This window comes from Homo sapiens, chromosome 12 (assembly GCF_000001405.40).
Source record: "Homo sapiens chromosome 12, GRCh38.p14 Primary Assembly".
Lineage (NCBI taxonomy): Eukaryota > Metazoa > Chordata > Mammalia > Primates > Hominidae > Homo > Homo sapiens.
In genome coordinates this window covers 39,904,248-39,930,291 of record NC_000012.12, presented here as the reverse complement: position 1 = coordinate 39,930,291, position 26,044 = coordinate 39,904,248, and the positions used below count along the sequence as shown (strand labels likewise).

General features: G+C 35.8%; 2 protein-coding genes across 9 annotated transcripts in view; one reads left to right on the top strand and one right to left on the bottom strand.

The window, feature by feature from the left end:
• SLC2A13 (solute carrier family 2 member 13) overlaps positions 1 to 26,044 on the top strand; it is a 351,057-nt gene that overhangs the window by 175,790 nt on the left and 149,223 nt on the right. The window lies entirely within an intron of this gene.
• Positions 21,992 to 26,044, bottom strand: part of REDIC1 (regulator of DNA class I crossover intermediates 1) — a 282,118-nt gene continuing 278,065 nt past the window's right edge. The window contains exon 19 of the transcript NR_135051.2: positions 21,992 to 22,658. The gene's annotated coding sequence lies outside the window, so the exon portion shown is untranslated. The remainder of the gene's footprint in view (positions 22,659 to 26,044) is intronic.

Genomic DNA, 26,044 nt, shown 5'->3' with positions numbered 1-26,044 from the left:
TCCTCTGCAGCACTTCCCCCTCCTCCACCTTGCTGCCTACAACCCATGATCCTGGCCTGCTGAAATGGCTCATACAGTTATACCAGGATTTTTTTCTCTCTCTCCTATAGTAGTAAGTAGGTGCCACATTCTTTTTCGTTTTTTGGTTTTTTTTTTTTTTTGAGACGAAGTCTCACTCTGTCACCCAGGCTGGAGTGCAGTTGTGCAATCTCCACACACTGCAACCTCTGCCTCCCGGGTTCAAGCGATTCTCCTGCCTCAGCCTCCTGAGTACCTGGGATTACAGGCATGCACCACCATGCCTGGCTAATTTTTGTATTTTTAGTAGAGACAGGGTTTCACCCTGTTGGCCAGGCTGGTCTCGAACTCCTGACCTCAGGTGATCCGTCCTCCTCAGCATCCCAAAGTGCTGGGATTACAGGCGTGAGCCACCACACCCAGCCCAAGTGCCGCATTCTTTAACTTGCTCAGTGTTCAGTGTACCCCTCACTAATTCTTTCTGCATACTTTTCAGTGGAGCTGTAAAGCCTCTTCCTTTACAGTTAAACCTAATGAGAAACACCCATAATCCATCCTGTGATTCTGCTCTTCTTACAGAACTTTCTCCTGCAGCCTCCAGTATCCTGCCTGCCTCTCCCATCTGGTTGCCCCCTGAGGGACAGCTGTAGAAATGCTCTTTACCCCTCTCTCTTGTGGCTGAGTTCTGTTTCCTATATTACATGTCTTTTGCTTTTTTTTTTTGAGATGGACTCTCACTCTGTCGCCCAGGCTGGAGTGCAATGGCTCGATCTCGGCTCACTGCAACCTCTGCCTCCCGGGTTCAAGCGATTCTCCTGCCTCAGCCTCCTGAGTAGCTGGGATTACAGGTTCCCACCACCACACCTGGCTAATTTTTGTAGTTTTAGTAGAGACAGGGTTTCACCATCTTGGCCAGGCTAGTCTCGAACTCCTGACGTCGTGATCCACCCACCTCAGCCTCCCAAAGTGCTGGGATTATGGGTGTTAGCCACTGCGCCCAGCCTCCCATGTCTTCTTTTTAGGCTGACTTCATCTTTATCATGATTCTTACTCTGTACTAGTTTCCTGTGAAAAGTTCAATGAGAAGTAAACAGTTTTGAGACCATGAAACTCTTTATTCAGTCCCCAGACTTGGGTTGTTTTTCTCCCTCAGAATTTTTAATGCCATAAATTTTCATTTTCTTGCCACTCCTTGCTGCTGGCCTTCACCATGTCTGCCATCCTCCTGTCTGCAATCCTGGACATTCATTTTCTCTGGACAGGACACCTCTGTCTCCTCCCCATGTGTGGGGAGGGCAAAGGATCTTGGCAGTGGAGTTGGGGGAGGCATCTTGTTGATTGTTACAAGGATTGTCAACCAGTCCTTTTTATAATCTACTGTCTGAGATATTTGGTACCTCCAATTCTTAAGACTTTCCAGAGTCTGTCATACAAATCATCCTGCTTCTTGCTGGCTTTACTTTGTTGTGATTAGGTTTTAGTTCTGCTGTGTTAAGCCAGTCACCACTTGTCTATCCTCTTTCCACTGTCCAAAGCTTCCAGTCTGATGTTCTTTATCCTTGCATACAAACTTTAATTACTTTATAGTCATTTTAGTGGAGAGTGTGAGGAAATAAAGCTGCTGGGTTTAACTGAACATCTTTCATAAGCCATTTAAAAATCTTGAGACAAGAAACAGGCAAGTTTGTAACTGAAATGCTTTTCTGAAATAAAAATGTTGCTTATTTTTTAACCAGTTACGCATTTAATATCCTTAATTTTTTAAGATTTTAATGTTTTAACTCTGTGCAGTAGAGCATCTAGCATTTTAGCTCTATTTTCTTTATTCCTCATGTTCTAAAAGAAGCACTCTTGATTCCACCACTCACACAAAAAGTGCAATCAGAGCCTGATTGGAGGGTTGGCAGGCTCTCAAATTGAGTAAGTACATTTGCATATTAGAAGGAACAGGATTTACTTTATAGAATTCTCTAATATGAGTAAGATTAAGATTTTTTTCACCCAATCCAGTAAGCAACAATTGGGCCAAAGCATAACTTATATTAGTGCTGTTTGAAGTTAAGATGTTTTGTTTTTTTCAAGAGTATGGGATGTGTAGCGTTTTTTGACTATTGAAGTACAAGATATTATTCAAGTAAAACATTTTTCCCTTTTCAAAATAATGTTGCTATAGGAAAGATTTCGATGAAGTAATGTAAGTAACAACTCTTAAATATATATCAGGACTTTAATATCGGAAATGTAATTCGTTTCCTGCAACATGAATACTTCATACCAAGCTTATAGTTATATAGATAATTTAATTTATACTTTAATGTTTTGGGTTCCAGTTTATTTGAAGTTAATTCATTTAATTATTTGTGTTTTGGGTACTTCATGGGCATGTACCATTTATCTTAAATGCTTTCCTTCCACAGGAGCTCAATAAGTGTTGATATAAAAACAATCATGTTGTGTATCTCTGGCGTAGTATTTTGAACATTGTAAAGCTTAATAAACTTGTCAAATTAATTAAAGCATATCCTGTAGCTTTTGTAAATGCCTCTTAAAATAAAAATTTCTGAATATGAAATAAACCAGATTTAGCCAAGTTACTATATCATTGCATAAAAACTTCTTGGTTTTGAAAAGCTGTTTTGACAGTAACAGTAGCAAATAAAATATTTTTTCTCGTTTGATATGTTATTGTTTAAAAAAGATAAATTCTAACCTAATGTAGACCACATATAATGAACACGCAATTTGGAGTATTAAACATTTTATTAATTGTAATAGATTATGAAATCCTGAACTACTTGTATTGTTACATATTTAGTATTTTATATTTTAAATGACATTTGGGGGAAAAAAACTCAAGAGTATGCTTTGACTAATATGTTTATATTCTTTCCAGGAAACTTCATATGACTCACCAATTTTCAGTTTAGTTTTTGATCTCTATTCTATACCTAGAAAATTTTAAATTCCTTAAGTATTTTGGTGTCAGGAATCAAAGGTAGAAGCAAACTTGCAGAGGTTGATTCTCCCAGGTTCTATAAAATGTACAAAATGTAGTGGATCATTTCATAAAAGGAATGGGTGTGGACTCAAAAGCACCAGGCCATTTGATTATGATACATGAACTGTAGACATATGGCTGACAAGAATCTTATCTGTTTAAAATACTTAGTGCAAAGTGTATTACTGTTCCATTTATATATGATCAAACTAAATGCTTTAGTTCTGGAGGTACTATAAATTATATGATACATTGATGGATTGCTTTATCAATTGTCCAGCTTTTCTCAATCAGATAGCATCAGGATATTTTTCTCTATAAATGAAACCTCTAAAAATTTTCACATTTAAAGTTAGAACTAGCTGGATGCAGGTGGCTCACGTCCGTTTTCCCAACACTTTGGGAGGCCGAGGCAGGAGAATCCCTTGAGCCCAGGAGTTCAAGACCAGCCTGGGCAACAAAGGGAGACCCTGTCTCTACAAAAATTAAAAAGCTCGCCTAGCATGGTGGCTCATGCCTGTAATCTCAGCTACTCAGGAGGCTGAGGTAGGAGGATCTCTTGAGCCTGGGAGATCAGGGCTTCATTGAGCTATGATTGGGCCACAGCACTTCAGCCTGAGTGACAGACTGAGACCCTGCCTGGAAAAAAGAAAAATAAAAAAGGTTAGAACTGTATTTGGTTTGTAAGACAGTAAAGATGATTTTATTACCTATTGAGATGATGACCTGGAAGTTGAAATACCAGTGGGCGATACAGCACATACTAAAGAGCAGCTTACAATACGCTGTCACATATCTCATTTATTTACAATTGATATCTGTGCTTGCATTTTGTAAATGTCAGAGCCATATAAATATGTCTGAGTTTTTAAAATTATAATAAAAGTCTGGGTAGCATTCTTGAAGGCACATATGATAACATGCCTTGGATCTTTCTGAGGCTGTAAACCTGAGATTTGTATGTAAGATGTTCTTAAAAATGGACTAAAGAGATATTTATCACTTTCTAAGTCTTAATATTAGTCACCCTTTTATAAGATATTATAATTATTTAAATACAAAGGGTTATTTATTTATATTTTTCTATAATTGAGGAATAATTATTGTGCTTTGAGGGACATTTTCATTCTCTTTGCTTTAATGTTCTAAACATGATTTAAGGTTCTCTTCAACAGATTTCCAATAATCTTTGCTTCAGTGTTATGAGTACTTAACCAAATATAAAAGCTTACCAAATTCGTGCCCAAATGAGAACATATGCTTCATTTTTATTTTACTATCTGTCATATTCATGAAGATCTAGATAGGATATCCTAACAATTGGGTTAAGGCTATTTAAAAAATTAATTTGGATAACTTAGACAAAGAAGGAAAATTGTTTATTTTATATTAAGCTCTGTATTACTGGGGAAAGACTGGTAAATATTGAGTGGGAATGATTAATTGGATTTGCTGAAAATTATTTTCTTTTAAAGCATCAGTATATAGACAGATATAGAGGAAAATACCAAATGAAAATAAAGTGGCAGTGATCTCAAAATGGGTGAGAAGTGATGTAGAGGGCTAGCATTACTAGTAGTGGCTCTTTTAGTAGTAAAAACTAAAATAATTGACATGAAAAAGATTTAGCCATTAAAAAATATAGTTTCTGAACCATAGCTTCCTAGCTTTTAAGTATTTCTTTACTTAAAGGAAAAAAAGTTAATTATTTGATATATTTTTAAAGTATGCAGGTGGAAGATGTTAATATATTATTGTTATATATGCACAACTGAATAACTGAAGTCATTGAGAAGTGTTACTATGACTACCTTTTTTGGTAAATAATGATTTTAGTGGTGAAAGATAAATGGCAGAAATTGAAAGATTTAATTAAAATACATTTAGTTCATCTTACTACTTTCTAACTAGTTTTAGGTAGATATTAAAAATGTGAATAATAAGGCCAGGCCTGATGGCTCACACCTGTAATCCCAACACTTTGGGAGGTAGAGGCAGGAGGATCCCTGAGCCTAGGAGTTTGAGACTAGCCTGACGATATGGTGAAACCCCGTCTCTACAGAAAAAAAGTACAAAATTAGCCGGGCATGATGGTGTACCCCATAGTCCCAGCTACTCAGGAAGCTGAGGTGGGAGCATAGATTTAGCTCAGGAGATCGAGTGAGCGATCCATGATCATGCCTTTGCACTCTAGCCTGGGTGGCAGAGTGAGACTCTTCCTCAAAAAAAAAAAAAAAAAAAAAAATTATCTGTATGTATAGGACACTTAACCTATTTATTCATCTGGTATGTTTTATGTCATGCTCCCTAATGTGTATGATGATATAAATAAATGTTGAAGAAAAATTTTAAACGGATAGTCTTTGGCAGATTTTTTACAATGTATTACATAGACAAAGAAACTTATTCTTCATACTTCTTTTATTTTGGCGGGGTGGGGGGTCTTTTTCTCAAGTTAGCTTTCTGTCATGCAAAACACAAAAGGTCAAGCCTATTGCATTTTACATTGCCAAACTTTTTTCTCTAGTATTTTCACCAAATACTGCCTCTGTTTTAAATAAGCTAGTCTTATCACTGTCCTCAAAAATTGAAAGAAAAAAAATGAAGAATAATTGAAAACAGTGATTCAAGCAAATACTTCTATACTAACGATACAATGATCCTAATAATTGCAGAATTATTTATAGTAGATAAATAGTAGATACTTAGTATCTATGTTGTGTCAGAAAAAGGTGAAGTCTATTTTAGATAAGCTAGTCTTATCACTGTCCTCAAAAATTGAAAGAAAAAAAATGAAGGAAGAAGAATTGAAAACAGTGATTGAAGCAAATACTTCTATACTAATGATACAATGATCCTAATAATTGCAGAATCATTTACAGCAGATAAATAGTAGATACTTAGTATCTATGTTGTGTCAGAAAAAGGTGAAGTCCTCCTAGCTTGCTAAATGACTAATTCAGCTTCCCACATATCTTCCTGACATTAAAAAAAGACAACAACCTGTGTATCTCTTCAGCTTAAATTTAGTAAAGGTATTCATTTTAGCTAGCAACTTTAGTCATTTTGTTTTCAAGACTGTTTTGGGCTTTCTGGAAGGCCAAAAGTATAGGATATTTTATAAAAACATCATTCATATTTTAAGAGTGTACATTATTAACATTCAAAAGATAAATGAAAGAAAATTATTTTAACATAACATTTTTTATTTTATTTCGTTTTAACTGTTTATCTTGATAAGCTGTATTCAATACAAGTAATTTTGGAGTTTTAAGTATAAAAGCCTTCAAGAAACATAGAACTATTATTTTAGTGAAAAGAATGAAAATCAGTAGCATGTTTGTTTTAATTCTTTTTTCCATATTTGTATAATATTCATATGCTTCATAGTTTTATAAACATATGCAGATGTGCATATTTTACCACATAATGTGCTCCGAGGGAGGCAGAATAGGTGTTGAGGTGCGATGAGGTTTGGTAAGCTTTTGTTACTAGTCAGTTCTCCATTTTGGCTTTCTTTTCTGAAAAATTTTTTATCGTGTTAAAATATATGTGTGTGTGTGTGTGTGTGTGTGTGTGCGCGTGCGCATATATATATATATATATACATATAATCACATAACATTTGTGATTTTACCATTCTTGAGCGTACAATTCAGTGTCATTCAGTATATTTACAATGTTGTGCAATCATCACCACTCTCCATTTCTGGAACTTTTTCATTGCCCCAAACAGAAACTCTGTACACATTAAACAATATCTCCCCATTTCCCCTTTACCTAGCCTTTGGTGACTTGTAGTCTGTTTTCTGATTTATGAATTTGCCTATTCTAGATACTTTATGTAAGTGGAATCATACAATATTTGTCCTTTTTGTCTGGTTTATTTGAGTTAGCATAATATTTACAAGGATCATCCTTATTGTAGCATGTATCAGAACTTTGTTCCTTTTCATAGGTGAATAGTATTACATTGCATGGATTACCACATTTTGTTTATTCATTCATTTGTTGGACACTTGTGTTGTTTCCACTTTTATTTACTGTAAATAATTCTGCAATGATCATTAGGATACAAGTATTTGCTTGAATCACTGTTTTCAATTCTTCTTCCTTCATTTTTTTCTTCCAATTTTTGAGGACAGTGATAAGACTAGCTTATCTAAAATAGACTTCACCTTTTTCTGACACAACATAGATACTAAGTATCTGCTATTTATCTACTGTAAATAATTCTGCAATTATTAGGATCATTGTATCATTAGTATAGAAGTATTTGCTTGAATCACTGTTTTCAATTATTCTTCATTTTTTCTTTCAATTTTTGAGGACAGTGATAAGACTAGCTTATTTAAAATAGAGGCAGTATTTGGTGAAAATACTAGAGAAAAAAGTTTGGCAATGTAAAATGCAATAGGCTTGACCCTTTGTGTTTTGCAAGACAAGCTTTTGCAAGTTTTGCAAAGTTTTGCAAGCTAGTTTTGTAAGACTAGCTTATCTAAAATAGAGGCAGTATTTAGTGAAAATACTAGAGAAAAAAGTTTGGCAATGTAAAATGCAATAGGCTTGACCCTTTGTGTTTTGCAAGACAGAAAGCTAACTTAAGGAAAAACCCCCATACACACACAAAAAGTCATTGTATTGTATAAGTAAAAAGTCTAGGAATATCTTGATTCCCCAGGGCTTAAATGATGTCATCAGGACTTTGTTTCTCCCCAACCTCTTTTCCCATTTTTCAGCTGTTTATCCTTCATGTCACTTCAGAAAGAACCCCTTAAAAAGATAGATAATAGTTAGAGGACAGAGTCTTAGTTCTTAAACTGGTGCCTTATTGATCTGACTTGGGACACAGACCAACATGAAATACTAATCTCTTTTTTGTTTTAGGCAGATGTGGATCTCCTGATTGGTTAGGCTTGGGCCATATGCTCACCCTAGGAGACAAGGTGCAGGGTGGGGGTTATCTTCTGGAACCACAGGGACAAGAGTAGAAAACAATAGATGTTACATCAGAAAAGATTATATTGGACAATGAAAAATTCTCCTGTCAAAATCAATGGAATAAAAAGATTCTCTTTAGTATGGTTTTCTGAGATTCTTTGTGCGTTTCATTTTTTCAGTGGATACAGAGAATAATGGTTTTTTGGGTTTTTTTAAGTGTTTGTACACCTCTAGCAGTGTAGGCTCTACGAACACTAAGACATACATAATATAAATCGCATAAATTTGAAACATTTGAGAAATGTCTGTCACCCTACAAATGTAGGTACATCACATAAGCACTAGAGCTGAAACTAATTGTTAATGTACCTTGCATACCTTGATGCTTCTGGGTTGATCTTTTAATTTATTAGCACTTTTGTTGGATTTATATGCAATATTTATTTCCATATTTACATTAAGTGGGTTTACCATACTGAAAAGTTGATTTCAACATTAGGTTGACTATTATTCAAATTAGTCATGTTGGCACATTACATTCTAAACTATAATGTAGTAATTTAATTTTCCTTTGCCCTAGAAATGTTTAAAATACACATCCAAGTATTACTGGCATATCTGATATACTCAGTTAGGGTTACTTGAACTTAAGTTTTCGCTTAAATGCTGCCTCATGGCTAAATCAGAATTGTGAGTTGCCAACTTAAAATAGAACATAAAAATATGGTATGACTTATACCTTGCACTGACACCTTTTGGAGGACGTTTTGTTCTTCACCAATCATGGACTGTCTAAACAGTGATATCTATGGCTTGAAAACAGTTTACTCACATACAGGCAGTTAGAGGTGCTGGACGCTCCCATGACGTTTCCATTTAAGCATGGCCGGGCCACCCTGCTATCCTCTTAAACACACTGAAGGTACCTGAACAGGGTAAAATGTGACAGCCAGGGCAGGAGAGAGCTCCCTTTCTTTGTCACTGGATTCTTTGAATTAAGGGGAACTGACTGCTTTAGAAAGACTCGCCAACCTAGTATTGGTAACTGAAGATCATCATTTTCTAGCAACAGAAGGAAGACCATGCATGCGCTTCAAAGCCAACAAATCTCCCAAAGCAAACACCAGGGATCATGCACACAATGTAATTCTTACCCTCAGAAATTGCCCCCTTGCAGCTCTATATAGATAATCCTAGTGCTAGATAACGCAATTAGAAACCCTATGTATAAAACCATAATCAATCAATTATATTTTCAATTTTGTTTGTACATTTTAGAATTACCCCCAGTATTCTCTTGGGCTTGTGGTTTTCTGTATTTGAACTACTCTTTGTCTGTTTGCCAAATTTTTTACACACAGCGCTGATGTGCATAGTGCTGAAGTTGTGGAGGTCTGCTTATTAGTTACACTGTCTAATGAGGGCAGGAATGGGGTTCCTTTGATGATGTGTCGCTAGCTTTTGGCATAGGTCCTGGCATTTAGCAGGCATTCTGTGGCTAGCTAAGGTCTAGTCAGGTGTGTGTGGGTATGTGCATGCATCGGAATGCTATGCACAGATGGACGTATTTAATCCTCACAATACCTTTATGTGGTTGATATGATTTCTCTGCTGGTTTTATAGATACAGAAGCTGGAACTTGGTAAAGTGCAGTATTTTGCCTGAGATCTTAGAGCTAGTGATTGATATAATTGGGATTCAGCATCGGACTTCACCCCAGATCTTGTAACTACTCCGCTACAGAGTCTCTATAAATGTTCACTGACCAGATGCTTTGCTACATGAAGGAAAGAACCAGGATATGCTCTACTATACTATTCGGTTTCCATCTTTGCACCCAGTTCTGATCAGGATAGAGAGTGAAAAGTACAATGGTACCTCTGCTGCAGTTCTCTCTGCCACCAGCCAACCCTTCAGTCTGAATTTGCTCTGTTCCATATTATAAGCCAATAATTAACCTGAGTAACTCAGTTTTTTCCAGCATTTGGTTGGGCATCTACGTTGTTCAGAACAATGTGCTAGGTTTTCTTGGAGATAATTAATATTTGGAAATTCGCAGTCTCTTATTACATACACACATATATTTAGGGTATGGCTGATTCTGTAAGTATAGAAAAAAGGTTAAAAAATACATGCACACATACACATATACATACATACTCTGAATATTGGAAAAGCTTAATTTTAATTGTGGTGGGGTGGAAGCATCTTAGAATGTGTCTTGAATGATGAGGCATGTAAGAAGGTAAATTCCCTTGGTGAGCACAGGCCAGGCAGGATTACTTCTACCCAGGATGTTTGCTAATAATTTACAGCTGGACTCCTAAGTAACAGAGCTGATTAAAATATTACTCAGAGATAATAAGTGTATCAAGGTGTGCCAAGAGTTGTTTACAAAAAAAAATCATTTAAGAATTTACTATAATAGCTTTGGGGAATGTGAAAGAATGCGGAGGTAAGCACTGTCAGCCTATTCCTAGCTACCTAATCATCCAGTCACAAAATATCTGGACTTGGATGAGGAATTATCTTTAAATAAATAAAATCTTATTAAAACAATGATAACCTTCTTTAATATACAACTATTAGAAAAGATGAAATTATAGGTATTTTATGAATGTTATAAAATATTGTCAGTACCCCTTGGGGTGGGTTTGGGGGGTGTTTCCATCCAAGCCCTTTGAACCTTTTATACACTGGTCTAAAACATCATTATATTAACTATACAGTATTCTCAGAACATGTTTACTATAACTATACCTCAAAACCCATGGGATGACAGATTTTTTAAATTACTATGTTAGATATTATAGAGAAATCTTAAATGTATGAGTAACCTTTTCTGAAAAACAAAAGTGGGATGAAATATATTGGTAAAAGTATCCACTTATCTTGATTATTTTCATTTTACAACATACCTCTGTGTACCTTTGTGTTTTATTTTGCAATCTATAAAGAACTTGTCCATAATCACACAGTTATCTTTTCAATATTGAGATACTGTGTTTTTTAAAAATCAGTAGAGGTATTTTACTTAAGCATTGGCCAAGAAGAATGTTTACCACATATACAGTTTATATTCTTTCATGCTACAATATTTATAATCGGCCGAGCACAGTGGCTCACACCAGGAATCCCAGCATTTTGGGAGACCGAGGCCCAGGAGTTCAAGTGTATACATATATGTATGCAGGTGTGGTGGCACACAAGCGTGTAGTCCCAGTGACTTGGGAGACTGAGGTGGGAGGATCACTTGAGCCCAGTAGACGGAGGTGGCAGGGAGCTATGATTGAACCACTGCACTCCATCCAGCCTGGACAACAGAGCAAGACCTTGTCTCTTAAAAAAAAAATGTATAGATATATGTATACACACACGTGTGTGTGTGTGTGTGTGCGCGTGTATAACCTGAAATGATCTAGAAACTGGAAACTTCAAGTCTGGTTATAACAAAAAGGTTTTTAACCCTTTTTTTTTTTTTTTGAGACAGAGTCTCACTCTGTCACCAGGCTGGAGTGCAGTGGCATGATCTCCTGCCTCAGCCTCCCAAGTAGCTGGAACTATAGGCGTGCGCCACCACGCCCAGCTAATTTTGTATTTAACCCTTTCTTAAACTGTGAATACATGTGCACTCACCATCCTATTTTGTATACATAGAAAGCATGGTAAAAATATTGAATATTTCTTTTACACAAGTGATTTGCTGTATGTTGAGCAGCTCTCTGGGAGGTCAGATTATTTACCCACAGGAAGTGGATTGAGTAGGAATAAGTTTACTTCACAGATATACTAACTACTCTTTTTCACCCTATAACATGTTTTGTTTTCTTCTCAACCTATCAAGCAGATCTTTTCATGCTTTTCCATGGAAGAGCCAGTAATGGTAGTGAAGAATCACAAATTTCCCTGGATCTCTTGCCTGAAGCAGTTCTTCATAAAGACTCTTGTTTCGTACCGAAAAAAAAAAAAAAAGGAAACTTCTGTTCTGTTATACATTCATGCTTATTTTAGTTCACCACCCCCCAAAAAAAATTTAGTTACATCAAAGCTCCAGTAAGATGTGCCATATTAACTCTTGGGGTTTATACTTGCTAGGAAAAGGTTGTAACCCTCTGGGTGTGAATACCAACAATTACAGACTGTGTGAACATCCCTATGCCCTGGATATGTGGATGTCATAATTTGGGAAGAATGCCTTATAAGGTTGGTCAGTATTATCTAGATGTACAAGGATAGCAACCATGTTTCTTAATCCTAATGACTTTGCACATAGTAGGTACTCAGTGAGTGTTTAAATTAATTGTTTGTATGCACATTTCCTCATTGTCAATCAAGTTTTGTTTTGTTTCATTTTTGTTAATTACCTTTTTTTTAAATCTTTGGAATAATTGAGAAACGGGAAGCTGAGATTAGGGAAGAAGGAAAATAATAAACTGAATAATAGAAATAAACTGAGTAACAGAGAATAAGAAGAGAAAAGGAGAAGAGGAAGAGGTTATATTCATGAGGGTTGTTCAGAGAAACAGAACCAATAAGATTGACATGTGGGAAATGGCTCACACAATTATAGAGACTGAGAAGTCCCACTGTCTGCCATCTGAAAGCAGGAAACCCAGGAGTCAGCAGTGTAATTCACTGAGTCCGAAAACCTGCAAACAAGGCCACGGATGTAAATCCCAGTCCCAGGGCAGGAGGAGATAAGATGTTCAGCTCCAGCAATGAGGCAGGAAAAAAAGAGGGGCAAAATTTTGCTTCATTCACCTTTTGTTCTGTTAAGGCCCTCAGTGTATTGATGATGCCCACCATGGAGGGCAATCAACCTTACTGAGCCCACAAATTCAGATGCTAACTTCACCCAGAAACACCCTGACAGACACACACAGAAACAATGTTTAATATGGGTACACTTTGTCCCATCCAAGTCAGCACATCACACTGAACTACCTACAGAGACTCCTTTGCTTTTCAGCCACACTGGCTTTTGTCTTGGTTCTAAATACCCTCTTTCCTACCGCATGCTTTTGCACATGCCATTTCTTCTGAATAAATGTTGTTCCTTTCCCTGTTTCCTGAGCTAACTTGTAAGAACACTATTTCATCATCTCTTCCTCAGGGAAGACTCTTCTGAACACCCCATTAGTTCATGTGCTCAAAGCTCCAAATGCTTCTCTGCAGTCCTTATCAAATTTGAATTTTAGATTTGTTTGCACATATTTGATTGATGGGTGTCTCCTGCCTTTGGAGAAAAGGGACCGTGTTTGGTTTTGCTGCCAGCATAGTGAATGATATATAGCAGGTGTTCAATAAATTTGTCAATTGAATTTGTGACTTGTTTAATAGGGGCTGGTATAATTACAGGAGAGCATTCTCATAGTCTCAGGAGATCACCTAAGGTAGAGAAGGACTGAAGCTCTGTTTTCCCCACCGTATATGTTTGGGAAGATGGTGAAATTGTTAGTACCTGTGCACACCCAGTGAGAAGAACAAATTGTCTTATGTTTATACTTTATTTAAATGATAATCCTTCCACAAGACAATGACTACCGACTTGGAAGGCAAGAGATACTAAGTTTACTAATTACTTAAACACAAGGACTTCTAAATTTTGTAGAAGTCAGGTTATTACTGTGCTTTTGATAAATGTTTTTAATATATAATGATGTTGCGAGCCAAAGCCTACTCAGCTGCCTGGTGAGCTATACAACTCTGTGTTCCCAGGGAATATTTATCAAAAATGAGATTAATTTTAAAAGTGTTTTTCTCGTAACACGAAAAAGAAAATAATTAACCTTCACTGTTTATATTATTTACCTTAGAATGCCAGTGTATGTGGTATTGGGATACATGTCTATATAATTAAACTAGCAGCTAAGGCTTCCATATTCAGAATTAAGGTTTTAGCAGTAGAAGGAAATTAGTTTTGACTCTTCACTTTTACTTTCCTTAGCAGTGAACAGGGAGATCTACATGTTTTTTATGTTTTTAAAGGGAAGCAATACTGGTTTTAATTTCTCAGAAAATTTCCTCCTGACAACTGAGAGCAAAGGAAAAATTCAATACATTTTAGCACCTGATTATGTTCAGTCTTTTTCTAATTATGTCCTGTTCTGCTTGGAGTGTATCTGTGACATCATGGAACTTAAAAACCATACTGTAATTTAAACATCTAAAATTATTAATAATATTGCCCCTTTATAATCACCTTAGCAATTTGGGAACATTCTGAAGATGCTGGTTATTAAAATTTTTAATCTGCTTTTCAACTCCTAAGGCTAGTTCTTTTGAATATTCTCAATGGTGGCAGATATTTGTCCTATTAGAATGATTAAATTCTTGGAAATAGGAGTAAAAGGCATTTGGAGGTATTCTTTGTCTTTTGAATAAATGTAAGTGGTCGAGCCTTCTTGATTTCTTTAAGTTTTTTGTAGAAATTATGCTGTAAATCAGAGATTTGTCGTGATGATGTCAGGCATTGAGCTCTTTATGTGACATAAAGACTCCTTAGTTTCCAAATTTTTTTATGATGCCTATGATTAATGTTTGGACTTGTGAAATTTGGCACTACTCAGTTATTTTTAAATCAGCGATGGCCTCAGTCATCACTTTGATGAACCAGCTTGGTCTTGATATTTTTAACCCTAAACTTTTGTGCTTTCTTTCTATGTTAACTAAAAAAAAAAATCCTGTGTCATCACTGGCTATTTTTAAGTTTCCAGTGAACAATGACAATAAATGTCAAGTCTTTTACTCATTGAAAATCGATGGGCTAATTTTTCAAAACAAGATTCCTTTCCAAAGGGTTCTATATACTTCTAACTCCTCAGCCATGAATTGTCTTGTGACTGAATCAGATATCTGATCTTGCCCCATAAGGATTTTACCTCCTGCTGAGGGTGTTTCTATGGCTGTTTTATGCACCATCATTATTGTCTACCCAGTTAAACCGTGCTCTTGACATTGCTTCGTTTAATCTTTTCCTGCCACTGTTAACTCACTTGTCAATATGATTAACATTACTGAAAATTTGATATTAGCTATGTAATTATGAAAATTTGATATTAGCAATGTAATTACAGTGTTACAATGTAATGTATTTAATATATATCTTCTTCTAAATGCTTATTTTCATAAATTTTGTTTTATAATATCATCCTAGAAATCTTGTCCCACTGACTTTTCTCCTTACTATTAGGTTGCTATATGCACTTTTAATTCTTTTAACTGCTGCATTTTATCCATATGCTTTGGTCATTTCTCTGTTGGTTTTCCTGACCTTTTCTTGATAAATTGAAAATGTGTCTTATGTATTATATTTATAAATCTTTTGTAGTCTTTTGTTCCTGAAACTAAGTCTATAACCTGTTAACTTTGTGATGACCTTTGTTGATGTAGTCAACAATTTTCCCATTATAATTCGTGCATTTTAGATCTTTAATAAATTCTGCTTTTCACTGAAGTCGTAAAGATACTTTTGTACATTTCCTTCTATTAGTTTATAGTTTTATCTTATATATTCAGGTATTAAATTTTTCCGATGTTTTTCTGACTTAGGTAGAGAATCAAGTTCTACACAGCGAGTCCGTTTTTCCATCACTCCTTAATAAATAGTCTATCATTTTCCACTGGTTTGATATACCAAATGTATCATATCATGAGTATGTATATATATTAGGTTGGTGCAAAAGTAATTGCAGTTTTTGCCATTACTTTTAGTGGCAAAAACCACAGTTACCTTTGCACCAACCTAATATATGGGTTTGATTATAACTTGTAGCTTTATTCTTCTGCACCCTTTAACAGGTTAGGCTTTTAATTTTCTCTCCAGTACTCTGAGTTCCCTCTCCTTGTGTATGATACAATCCGGAAATTTGCTATGGCACTTGCAGAGCTCACCTCATTTTTACGTTCTTTCAGAGTTCTCTGTCCTTATTGTCCAAAGTCTGAAAACCTTTGTCTCATGTTTTACTGGGTTTTCTGATTGTTTAAGGTAAGAGGGTAAATTTCATACCTGTTATTCCACCACTGTTGTAAGCAGACATTCATTTTTTAATTTCTCAGTAGAATCCTTAGCTTGCTTATTTTCATTCTTTCATTAGACGTGAAAAAATCTATTTAAATCTCTATATCATGCCCTACTGCTTTTAGATGCAGCTCACACAGCCTCGGACATGCAGAACTCTCACTGTCATTCAGCTCTTCAGTGTTTTGTCATTTTTCTTGCTAGTTCTTGCTTGTTCCACTTTATTTAGCTGTGAGTTCATTTAACTATTTTTTTCCTGACATGCTTTTAGATTCCTTTTTATTACTAATTTAAAATTGTATTGAATTTTACTTAGAGGTTGCATAGGTTGATTCTTTGGAGACTTTTTTGAGACGTCCTTTGTGGTCTAATACATAAAATATTCATATATTCTTGAAAGGAATGAGTAAGATTTATTGGATAAAGTTTTTACTGTATATACATATATTTTAGATTGTTACTGGTGTCATTCACATTCTTTTCATATTGGCTTAGTTTTTTCTACTTGATACGTTTCTAAAAGATGTATTACAATTTCTAATGAAAGATTATATGTTTCTCCCCACATTTCTGTCAGTTAGTAGTTACATATCACATGTATGTATACTTACTAGTATTATATCTTATTAATATATTATTCTTATGAACAAATTATGTATCTTTTCTCCTGAAATTGCTTACTGTACTATTTAAATTGCTACTTAATATTTCATTTGGTTAATACTTATGTATTTTTTGTCCATCTCTTCCATCAACCTTTCTTTGTCTTTTGTGGACAATTTAATGCTAGATTTTTTTTTTTTGTAAATCAAATCTAAATCAGTCTTTTGATGACTAAATTTGAAAAATATATGCTTATTGTATTTATTATTGTATGGAGGCTTATTTCTCCCATCTTATTTTAGTTTTTATTCATCGTACTTTATTGTTTATTTTTTCGATCTTTTCTATGTTCTGTCATGTTGACAACTCAGATTTTAAACTTTTTGTTTTTAAGTTACAAGGTCTATTGTTCTCTTATCTCTAACTTAAGATTCATTGCATTTGTTTTTTTCTTCCAATGTGTAAAAGTTAATCTGTCTTCCCCTGCAATAAGAAACCTCAGTAGTCTTTCAACTCACTCCTCTACTATGATCTCTTTTTCTTTCATGTTGGCATCATCTGGAGTTTTCATTCTATATGTTTTTTGCTTACTCAGGTAACAATAAATTTACTAAGGTATTTACTCTCCATTGGTTACCTTATCTCTTGGCTTTCTCTGGAATGCACTTCTCTTCTTGTTGGAACACATCTTTCAAGATATCTTTCAAAGAGGACTCATCATTATGTGATATACTTTATAAGACAAAGAAGCCACTAGTACTTCTTCCTACGCCATAAATCTGTGGTCACATATAAAACTATTCTGTTTCTTTACTCATTTGTTCAACGGCTATGTTGTATGTAGGCCACGTACTTGTCCTAGACCTGAGAAAAGAAAGTCAACAAAAATCTTTGCCTACTAACGTTTACACAAGACACAGCAGGGAGGGGCAGAGGATACTCGAGGCCAGATCAGCAGTTCCTGGCAATGGCCCCACACTATGGCAGGGCTCCAGAGCTGCCAGGATATTGCCATGTAGTTTCTGGATGGCACTGAACAGGTTCTGCTGCTTTCTCATTATAATAACTGGGCAAGTGATATTTTTACTAGGCAACTCAGAGAAAAACAGGCCAACTAGAGAGCTCTTCCCAATCCATCCCTAATCTGTGGCTACTGAATCTTCCTCGATTATAACTTTTCTATCCATATTAGGATATTAGGATAACTTCTTCCTGCTTCCCCAAGGTTTCTTGGCTGTAGTTGTAGTGTTTGTTTTATTTGCTAAGTTTGGTTCTGAAAACTGCCAAGATCCCATATTGTTTGTAGTATCTCTGGGATTTGGCTGGGAAAGTAATCCGACTACCCATGGTAGTTTTCCTTCTTGTCCAGAATTGATAGTCCTCACAGAATATATTATTATTATTATTTACTATTATTATGGGATGTGAATGCCAATGGCAGTCAATGCTGAGAGAGTTTTCACAGATGATTATCAAGCACATCCTTAATTTTAAAGAGAACATCTAGGAAGCTCAATTATATATGTGGTCTGTTAGCCTATAAATGATCAGAACCTTTGGAAAATTATATCTATTGAATTCCTAGGAAGGTTGATCATTGTGGGGAAAAAGGAACTGAGTGGAGGAGCTGAGGATCAGGGTGGTCCTGGGCCATTTCTACCTGGTTCCAAATCTGGTTCAGCACCTACTTCCAGCCCTCATGGGAGTCAGAAGAGACTGCTGTGTGGTAAGTGTCAGAATCAGCCCTGAATTTCTGAAGAAGCAAGCTCAGGGAGCTCTCATAATGATTACTACATAAACAAACCATACTGTCCATCTGAAAGCATCCTGGCAATGTGTCTTGCTCACCTTCTTTGATTCTAATTCCTTTCCTACCCTGTCTGTTCTCTCCTAATTTTTAGACATACCCCCACCGTCTTTGGCTCATTGAATTTCCAGCTAAAGGAACCTAATTTTATATTTCCTATTAGTTTGGTGGTCAGTAATTTCTTTGATACTCAGAAACTTCTCAGAGCCTATGTCTGGGAAGGGCACCAACACTGCAAAAGATAGTGGAAACAGACTTTGTCCTGATGCATTCAGAAAAATAAGGGGAAAAATGTGAATTTGGGGTACTGTACTTACATTGAAAGCAATGTCAGTTGCAGGCTGAAACAAAAGCCAAGGAAGGGTAAAGCCTGTATTAAATCCCCTTTTATGATTCCCCGACACTTTTTTTCTTTTGTTCTCTAACTTGTATTAAATCTGTTTATCATAGAGATAGACAACAGGATGAGATTACAGTATCCTAAAACAACAAAATAAGATACATGACTGTGACAAAAACAATCGTTACATTTAGTGACCAAACAACAAAATAGTTGAACTTAAAATAGTCTTAAGTGAAAAAGACATTGGTGGTATTCCAAAGCCAGCTCACTTAAGCAAAGCGTGGGTATTAATTTTTAAAAACTCATTTTTTTTAAGATAAATATAGTCGTGTTCTTGCCAAGGCCAACATTTTCATGTTCACTCTGTTAAATGCTGTGTCTAGCAGGAACACATATTAGAGTGCAAAGTAACTTAAGCTCTTGAGAGATTGATGAGATAACATTTCTGACCTAATTTTTGTTTGTTTGTTTTGTTTTGAGAGGAAGTTTCACTCTTGTTGCCCAGGCTAGAATGCAGTGGCACGATCTTGGCTCACTGCAACCTACACCTCCCAGGTTCCAGCGATTCTCTTGCCTCAGCCTCCTGAATAGCTGGGATTACAAGCACCTGCCACTACACCTGGCTAATTTTTGGTATTTTTAGTAGAGACGGGGTTTCACCATATTGGTCAGGCTGGTCTTGAACTCCTGACTTCGTGGTCCACCTGCCTCACCCTCCCAAAGTGCTGGGATCACAGGCATGAGCTACCACACCTGGCCTACATTTCTGACTAAAATTTAAAATTTTAGCCATGTTATCCTCCCTTTGCCTAACCAATTAATTAAACCACACATATAGTCATACATAGCCCCTCTGGTTGTAGTAGGGAATGCTTTTCCTATCAGAAAGTCTTAGTGAATCATAACTTCTTGAAATTAGAACCTGAGTCCTGCAGCTGTCCACTTTTTCTGTGGGTTCCCAAGGCTGTTGATTTCCTCTGCCATAACAGATGGAATGCAAGAGAACAGAAGAGAATATCCATCTAACAGGAGGCAAGCCCATTAGTATTCCAAATGTATTCATATATTAAAGCCAGGCAATGGTTACATCTGAAAAAAATTCCTTAGACTTATCAAAGCTTCACCTATAACACATAGGCAGCTTGACAATGGTTATATCCTCAAAAAAAACCTTGACTTTTCTCCAAGTATTAACTTTACCACATAGGTGGTTAGAGCATCAATGCATAGTTTATCATCTGTAAGTATAGAAGAAAAGACCTTTTGCTTCAGAGAAATGGTTAAGTTATAAAGATACAGATATATTTATTAAAATACAGCCATTATTAAAGATGGACATGCATGTCATAATAAATAGTAGCACTTTCTAGGGTTGCTAGGGTGTTTGTGCTTCATTTGATTATTCAAGATGGAAATGTGTTTGTACATGACACAGTAGATAGTCCTGCACGAGGAAGCAGGGGACAGGGTTCTAGTTCTTCTTCTAAGGGCTGTTGAGAGAGTCAAATAACACTAATGTATCTAAGGACCCTTCTTAAAAAGGTAAAAATTGTAGTACTTTTTTAAAAAAGATATCTATGATTTATTTATTACTTTCACCTGGGAACACGGAACTAGGAGTTGAATGGGAACATTTATGGATTACCTGTGTATCCAGGGAGGCACACTCTATGTTATTTACTCTCTTAAAAAAAAAAAAAAACAAACTGTAAGAAGAGTAATGAAAAGAAAACGGATAACTCATTGAGTTCCCACACTGCAAATTACCTACTGTTTCTCGTTTAATTCTCAGTAAAATCCTATATGTCTCACTAGCACCATTTAAACAACTTAGATTAAATAAATTATTCTGTGCAGAACACTTAGTGGGGGCTGAAATTAAAAATCAGATCCCCTTGACTACCATGACTTCACAGCTTAGGCTGTTTCACATTCACCTTATTTCAGAATCTTCATTTCTACATAAAGACTTGCATTTATTCATAAAGCCAACATTGTGTTTTGATAACTCTGGACATGTTTATAACAGGTCTGTATGTATTTAATGAGTGTTCTGAAATACTATGGCAATAAATTAAAGATGAACATATTCTTCTGAAATATTCATGGTAGGCAAAACAAAGAGCACCAAATCCAGAAAAATTGAATGGCGATTTTTTTTTCCACCTTATTGACAAATGCAAGCTGTTCATATTTTGTTATTTGGTGAATTTGCTAGTCCCATTGTAAATGTCATCCTCCTCACCCTGTAAAACTGATTCAGAGAAGAAAGCCTATTTAAGATAGAATTTAGAAATAAGAAATGACTTATAAAAGAATTATATGATTAGGAAGTATTGTACATTTAGACCTCACAACAGTGTATAATAGAAAAATTGTAGTGTAATTATTTAATTTTTATTTGGAAATTGAATGCAAAATATTCATTTTTTCAACTGTTATTAATCTCTATCCTGGAGGTTTCCAAACATGAAAAATACATATATGTCACTGTATTCCTTGTGAGCACAACTTGCCTCTGCTCCCATGAAATTATACCCTTTTAAATATAATCAAGTAAAAAAAAACTCTTTCTTTATGCTTATTAATTTTTTAAATCCTGATATAGCCCATCTCTGATATGTCTGTATTCTTCACGTATCAATAACTGTTCAGGCCATATTACCAGCTAAGTGCCCGTTCTGAATTGCCCCATAGAGTTGCCTTCCATCTTCCTCATGCTTTTCATACAAGGTCTGTTTTCCTGGTCCTCCCAAATACCAAACCCTGCTTTTTACCTTACCTCTATGCTCAAGACCTGACAGTAATTGTGGTGTAAGGAAGAGTGTGGGTCTGGATATAAGGGTGAGAGTGAAAACCCAGCTTACCACCATCAAACTCTTAACACCAGGATCCTGGTACTTTTGCATCCCTAGTTTCTTCCTTATGACTTTCATCTCACCTCTGCCCCTCCTCATCCTCCTCAGCCACATCCTGGCTTTCTTCCCCTCCCCTCCCCGCCTTGCCTTTCTTCTCCTTTCTCTCCTTCTCTACTAACACAATCTATTGCTTCAGCTCCAGGTATTTCTTTTTCCTCGGGTTCTGAGGAACAAAATGCAGCCACACAGTTTCCTCTGTACTCATAACACCAGAGCAAGCTCCTAACTCTGTAGTTGTCTGGGGGGTTTTATTATTAAAAACATTAGGAAATAATGGAATAATTAACAGGAAGAAAACAGTCTCTGTACTCATAACCCCAGAGCAAGCTCCTAACTCTTTGTAGTTGTTTGGGGGGTTTTATTATTAAAAACATTAGGAAATAATGGAATAATTAACAGGAAGATAATAGTCTCATTTCAAGGATTAAAGTTGTTACCTGAGATGGCTCTTTGTGTATCCAGAGATACACCATTAGACTCTACATCACTATCATGCAGCTTTTTCTGTCTCCTCATTGTCAGAATAAATTAAGAGAAAAAGTGAAATCTAGGAAGAAAGGGGCCCGCTCTCTCCGATCCTGGTAATAGATAAGTCTATGTGGTTCTTCTGGCCAGGGAATTGTGGTTCATGAATTTTGCATCCCTGAGAAGTTCCTATGTGGCTCCCACCATAGCTGCAATAGACTGAAACTTTTGGAGGCGTAGTTGTAAAGGTGGAAAGTGCCGGGAAAAAGAATGGGTGGGTTGGGAGCATTGATTCTAAGGCTCCATTCTCTTTCCAGTACCCAGGGGAGGCAAGAACGCTCAGAATGAAGCAGAGAAAGTGGAGAATCAGGCAGGTTCATTCCAGTGGCGTGTAAGATAATTTAATCCAAGACATGTGTCCAATCCACATACTTTCCAGACATTTACAGCTTCCTGTTTCACAGGTCAGAGGGCTTTCTGCAGGAGGATGGTTGGTGAGATGCACCTCATTCTATTTCCAAAGTAATGGGTAGGTGAATTGTAATCTATGGGTAGAGGAATTGTAATCTTAACACTCAAAATTAGATCATCGTTTAACATACTTTTCCATTAAAACATCACTCTACATTATGGGCAGATTCTATATTAGTAGTATATATCAGGTACATTATGGTTTTGATAGAGTTTTGTAGGAATCCTAGGGCACTGAGGTCCATTTTTCTGTAGAAAACTCTTCTTGAGTGCTACACAAAAAGATTTTTGGAGTCTTATAAATTATGGATTGGCTTGTAAACTCAAAAAATATTTTCTCTTTCTTCATTGAGAAAATTAGGAAAATCAGCATGAACAATTTAAATTTGCTCACTACATCTATGAATAATACATATATGTTCTCTTTCATCATTTTGCATGTGGGTGGATTATCATGGAAGTGAAAATATTTGAAAGACTAAATACAAATCTCTACTTGTAAGAGCTAATAAGTGGCTTTCTTATTTAGAAGATTTGTGTGTTATTTTGAAATACAAAGAAAATTACAAAGGATTACTAAAATGTAGTAACTACAACTAATTAAGCATGAATATGATAGCATGTAAATACAGTCAAACTTCTACTTATATAAATTGATTTATGGGTTAATTTGCATTGTATCTTCTAATAAATAACTCACTATATACACTGGAAAAAATCTAAGAGACAAAAATTGGAGCAACTGATTTTTCTATTTATAAAAAGAATCAAATAAAAATATATTTTGCTTCCTAATGGACCTTGCAAAACAAAGTTTTTTTACTTTATCTTCCCTCATAATTGTTTTGCCTGTTTTCATACTTCAAGGGATATTGGGCAAAAATGTTACTGTCACCATCTCCACTTTATCAACGTTCAATTTAAAATAATCGTAGAAGACCTATGAATCCCCCACATTTAAGTAGCTCTCACTTTAATAAGAATTTTAGTAATTGATTTAATATTTACATGGCCTGAATAATGCAACTGAGATTTTCTGCCTCCACCCCATCCTCATCCTTTTGGTTGCCTGGAAACATACAACCAAGTATAGACCCAGCAGGACAGAAAACTAGGTTTAACTTTCACAGAAACTGATGAAATAAAATGGTTTCTTTCAAGTTAAAACTGTTTCTTTCAAGTTGAAACTGTTTTTTTCAAGTTTCATATTTCAGTGGACAAGTGTGTTAAATGCTGTAACTTTCCCCTGGATAACACTGGGGAAAGTTATCTAGTGACTTTCATATCTATTGTGTGTAGGTATGCATGTGTACATATAAATGTGCATATCAAGGCAATCCCCATAAACAGCAGGAGGACTGACAATGACTGACTTCTGATGAAATTTAGTTTACAAGCTTGTCTAGTTATTCACACAGTGATTTGGTAATAATTCAGGTAGTAATTTGCCCATAGCCTCAATTTCTTTCCTAATAAATGATAGTTGGAATTACTGACTTCAAGAATTGAAAATTGGGATTATTAAACCTATAGGAAGCTGTGCTAAGATGAACTCAGTTGAAAACAAAGTTCAAAGTTCTGTATCTGCAAGAATTAGATTTTGTCCAACATAGGTGAATTTTATTACAAACAAGTTTGTCTATCGTGATAAAGTTGTCATGTTTTTAGCATTTATGGTGTTTTACAGATTATGAGAGTCCTCTTAATCAGCTGTTATATTTCAATAGGGAAACAAAATTAGGAATATACTTTTTATACCAAATATAGTGTAACCTGACAGAAATTTTTAGTCACAGCTAAAGAGGTGTTAAAATTTTCAAAGGACATCTCATCTGTGAGAGACAGTAGAATAAGTTATCCATAGAAGTGTAGTTTTTTTTTTTTTCTGGGCATTTTAATAAAGGCCTAGTACCTTTTGAAGGCCTGTTTCAATTTGTGGCAGACTTTTTTCTTTAGGTTAAAAAGATATACATGATTGCTTCCTGAGATTTCTCTAGCTGTGTGATTCTGTAGCATGTTTTAAAATATTAATGTTTATAGACATAAGATGTCTTAAAGGATAGCATCCTATATTAAAATCAGCAGCATTTGCAAGACTAATAATGAGGAAAATTCACTCATACACATTTACTGTACTTTGATTCAAAATGCCTTATTTACTTAAAGGTAGTATTCTTAGACCATATTTGTAAATGAGAAAGAGAAAAATGCCACAAAATGAAGCAACTCTTCTAGAAACTTAATTAAAATCATGATGATACATTCAGCCTGGAGTTTAGTTTTATTTTCAGCTAGTCATCTGCAGCCATGCTTCCCACAGAGGAAGGTTGCCAGGCCCACAGCGCACTGTGCAGCTTGGATGAGCAGTATTACAGGCTGTTTATGAGCAGATTACATCTGGGATCTGTGGAGAGCAGCCAGAGCAGCAAGACAGAGATGATGAATGCAGGGTGTGTTCTAGGTAGATTTTCTAGCCACCAAAATGCTCATCACTTTTCTTTAGTACAGTGTTCAGAGTATTATAAAAACAAAGCATTTTTCTTAGTTGTTCACAGTAGGACCAGCAAGTTACTCTGGTTTTTAAATTCTGATTTTAAAATTGTTCATATGAACAGAAGTCTCATTCTGTGGGCATATTTGTGCATTCTTCAAGTTAATTTGGTGGCTTGTCACTAAAGCAGTAAACTAGTTTTAGCTCTAGCAACTGAAGCAGCCATTCTACAGTTGAGATTGGGATAGTTTGCCTGCACGTCTGTATCAAAAAGTGGCATGCCTTATGTGTGTGTGCATGTACCATGTTCAAGGGAGCAGCTACACAATGACGAGGCAATGCAGAAGACCTGTTCATCCAGGGGCAGGGCACATTTCCATCTTGGGATATAGGTATTCATTCAACAAATATGCACTAAAGAAGTAGCATGCACTTAGAAGTCCAGATATTAAAATAAATAGAACATTTTCTAGTTCCCCTGTGGCTTGTAGTCTAGTTTACTTGGTTGCAGCAAAGCAGGGCATATAAGGACAGGCTGGAACCTGAAATGAGCTCTGTCTTCCATGAGAAGAAGGCACGTGATAGGACATTAAACTCATCTGCAACATCTGTGTGGATATCCAGTCCAGTAAACAAGAGCTTTCTCCATGGAAGGTGGCAAGTGGCAGTTGGCATATGAAAGAGAGAGTGTCCTAAGTTAAGGTCTTGAAGTATACCATAAGAAAGGCAATATGCAGAAAACAGTTAACATGGCAGGCCTGGGACTACTGTCCTTAGAAAGACCTGCTCACAAGGTTTGCTTTTGCCTGGAGTTTGAGAACTGAATAATCAACAGTTTCCTACACTGATATAAAACTTTTCCTAAATGGCAAGAGTGGTTCACTGTGTCTAAACTACAATGTGGTTTCTGCTGAACATCTGCCTTCCATTTGGCTACATGCTGGGCAGAAGGTGCTTCTACGACTAGCC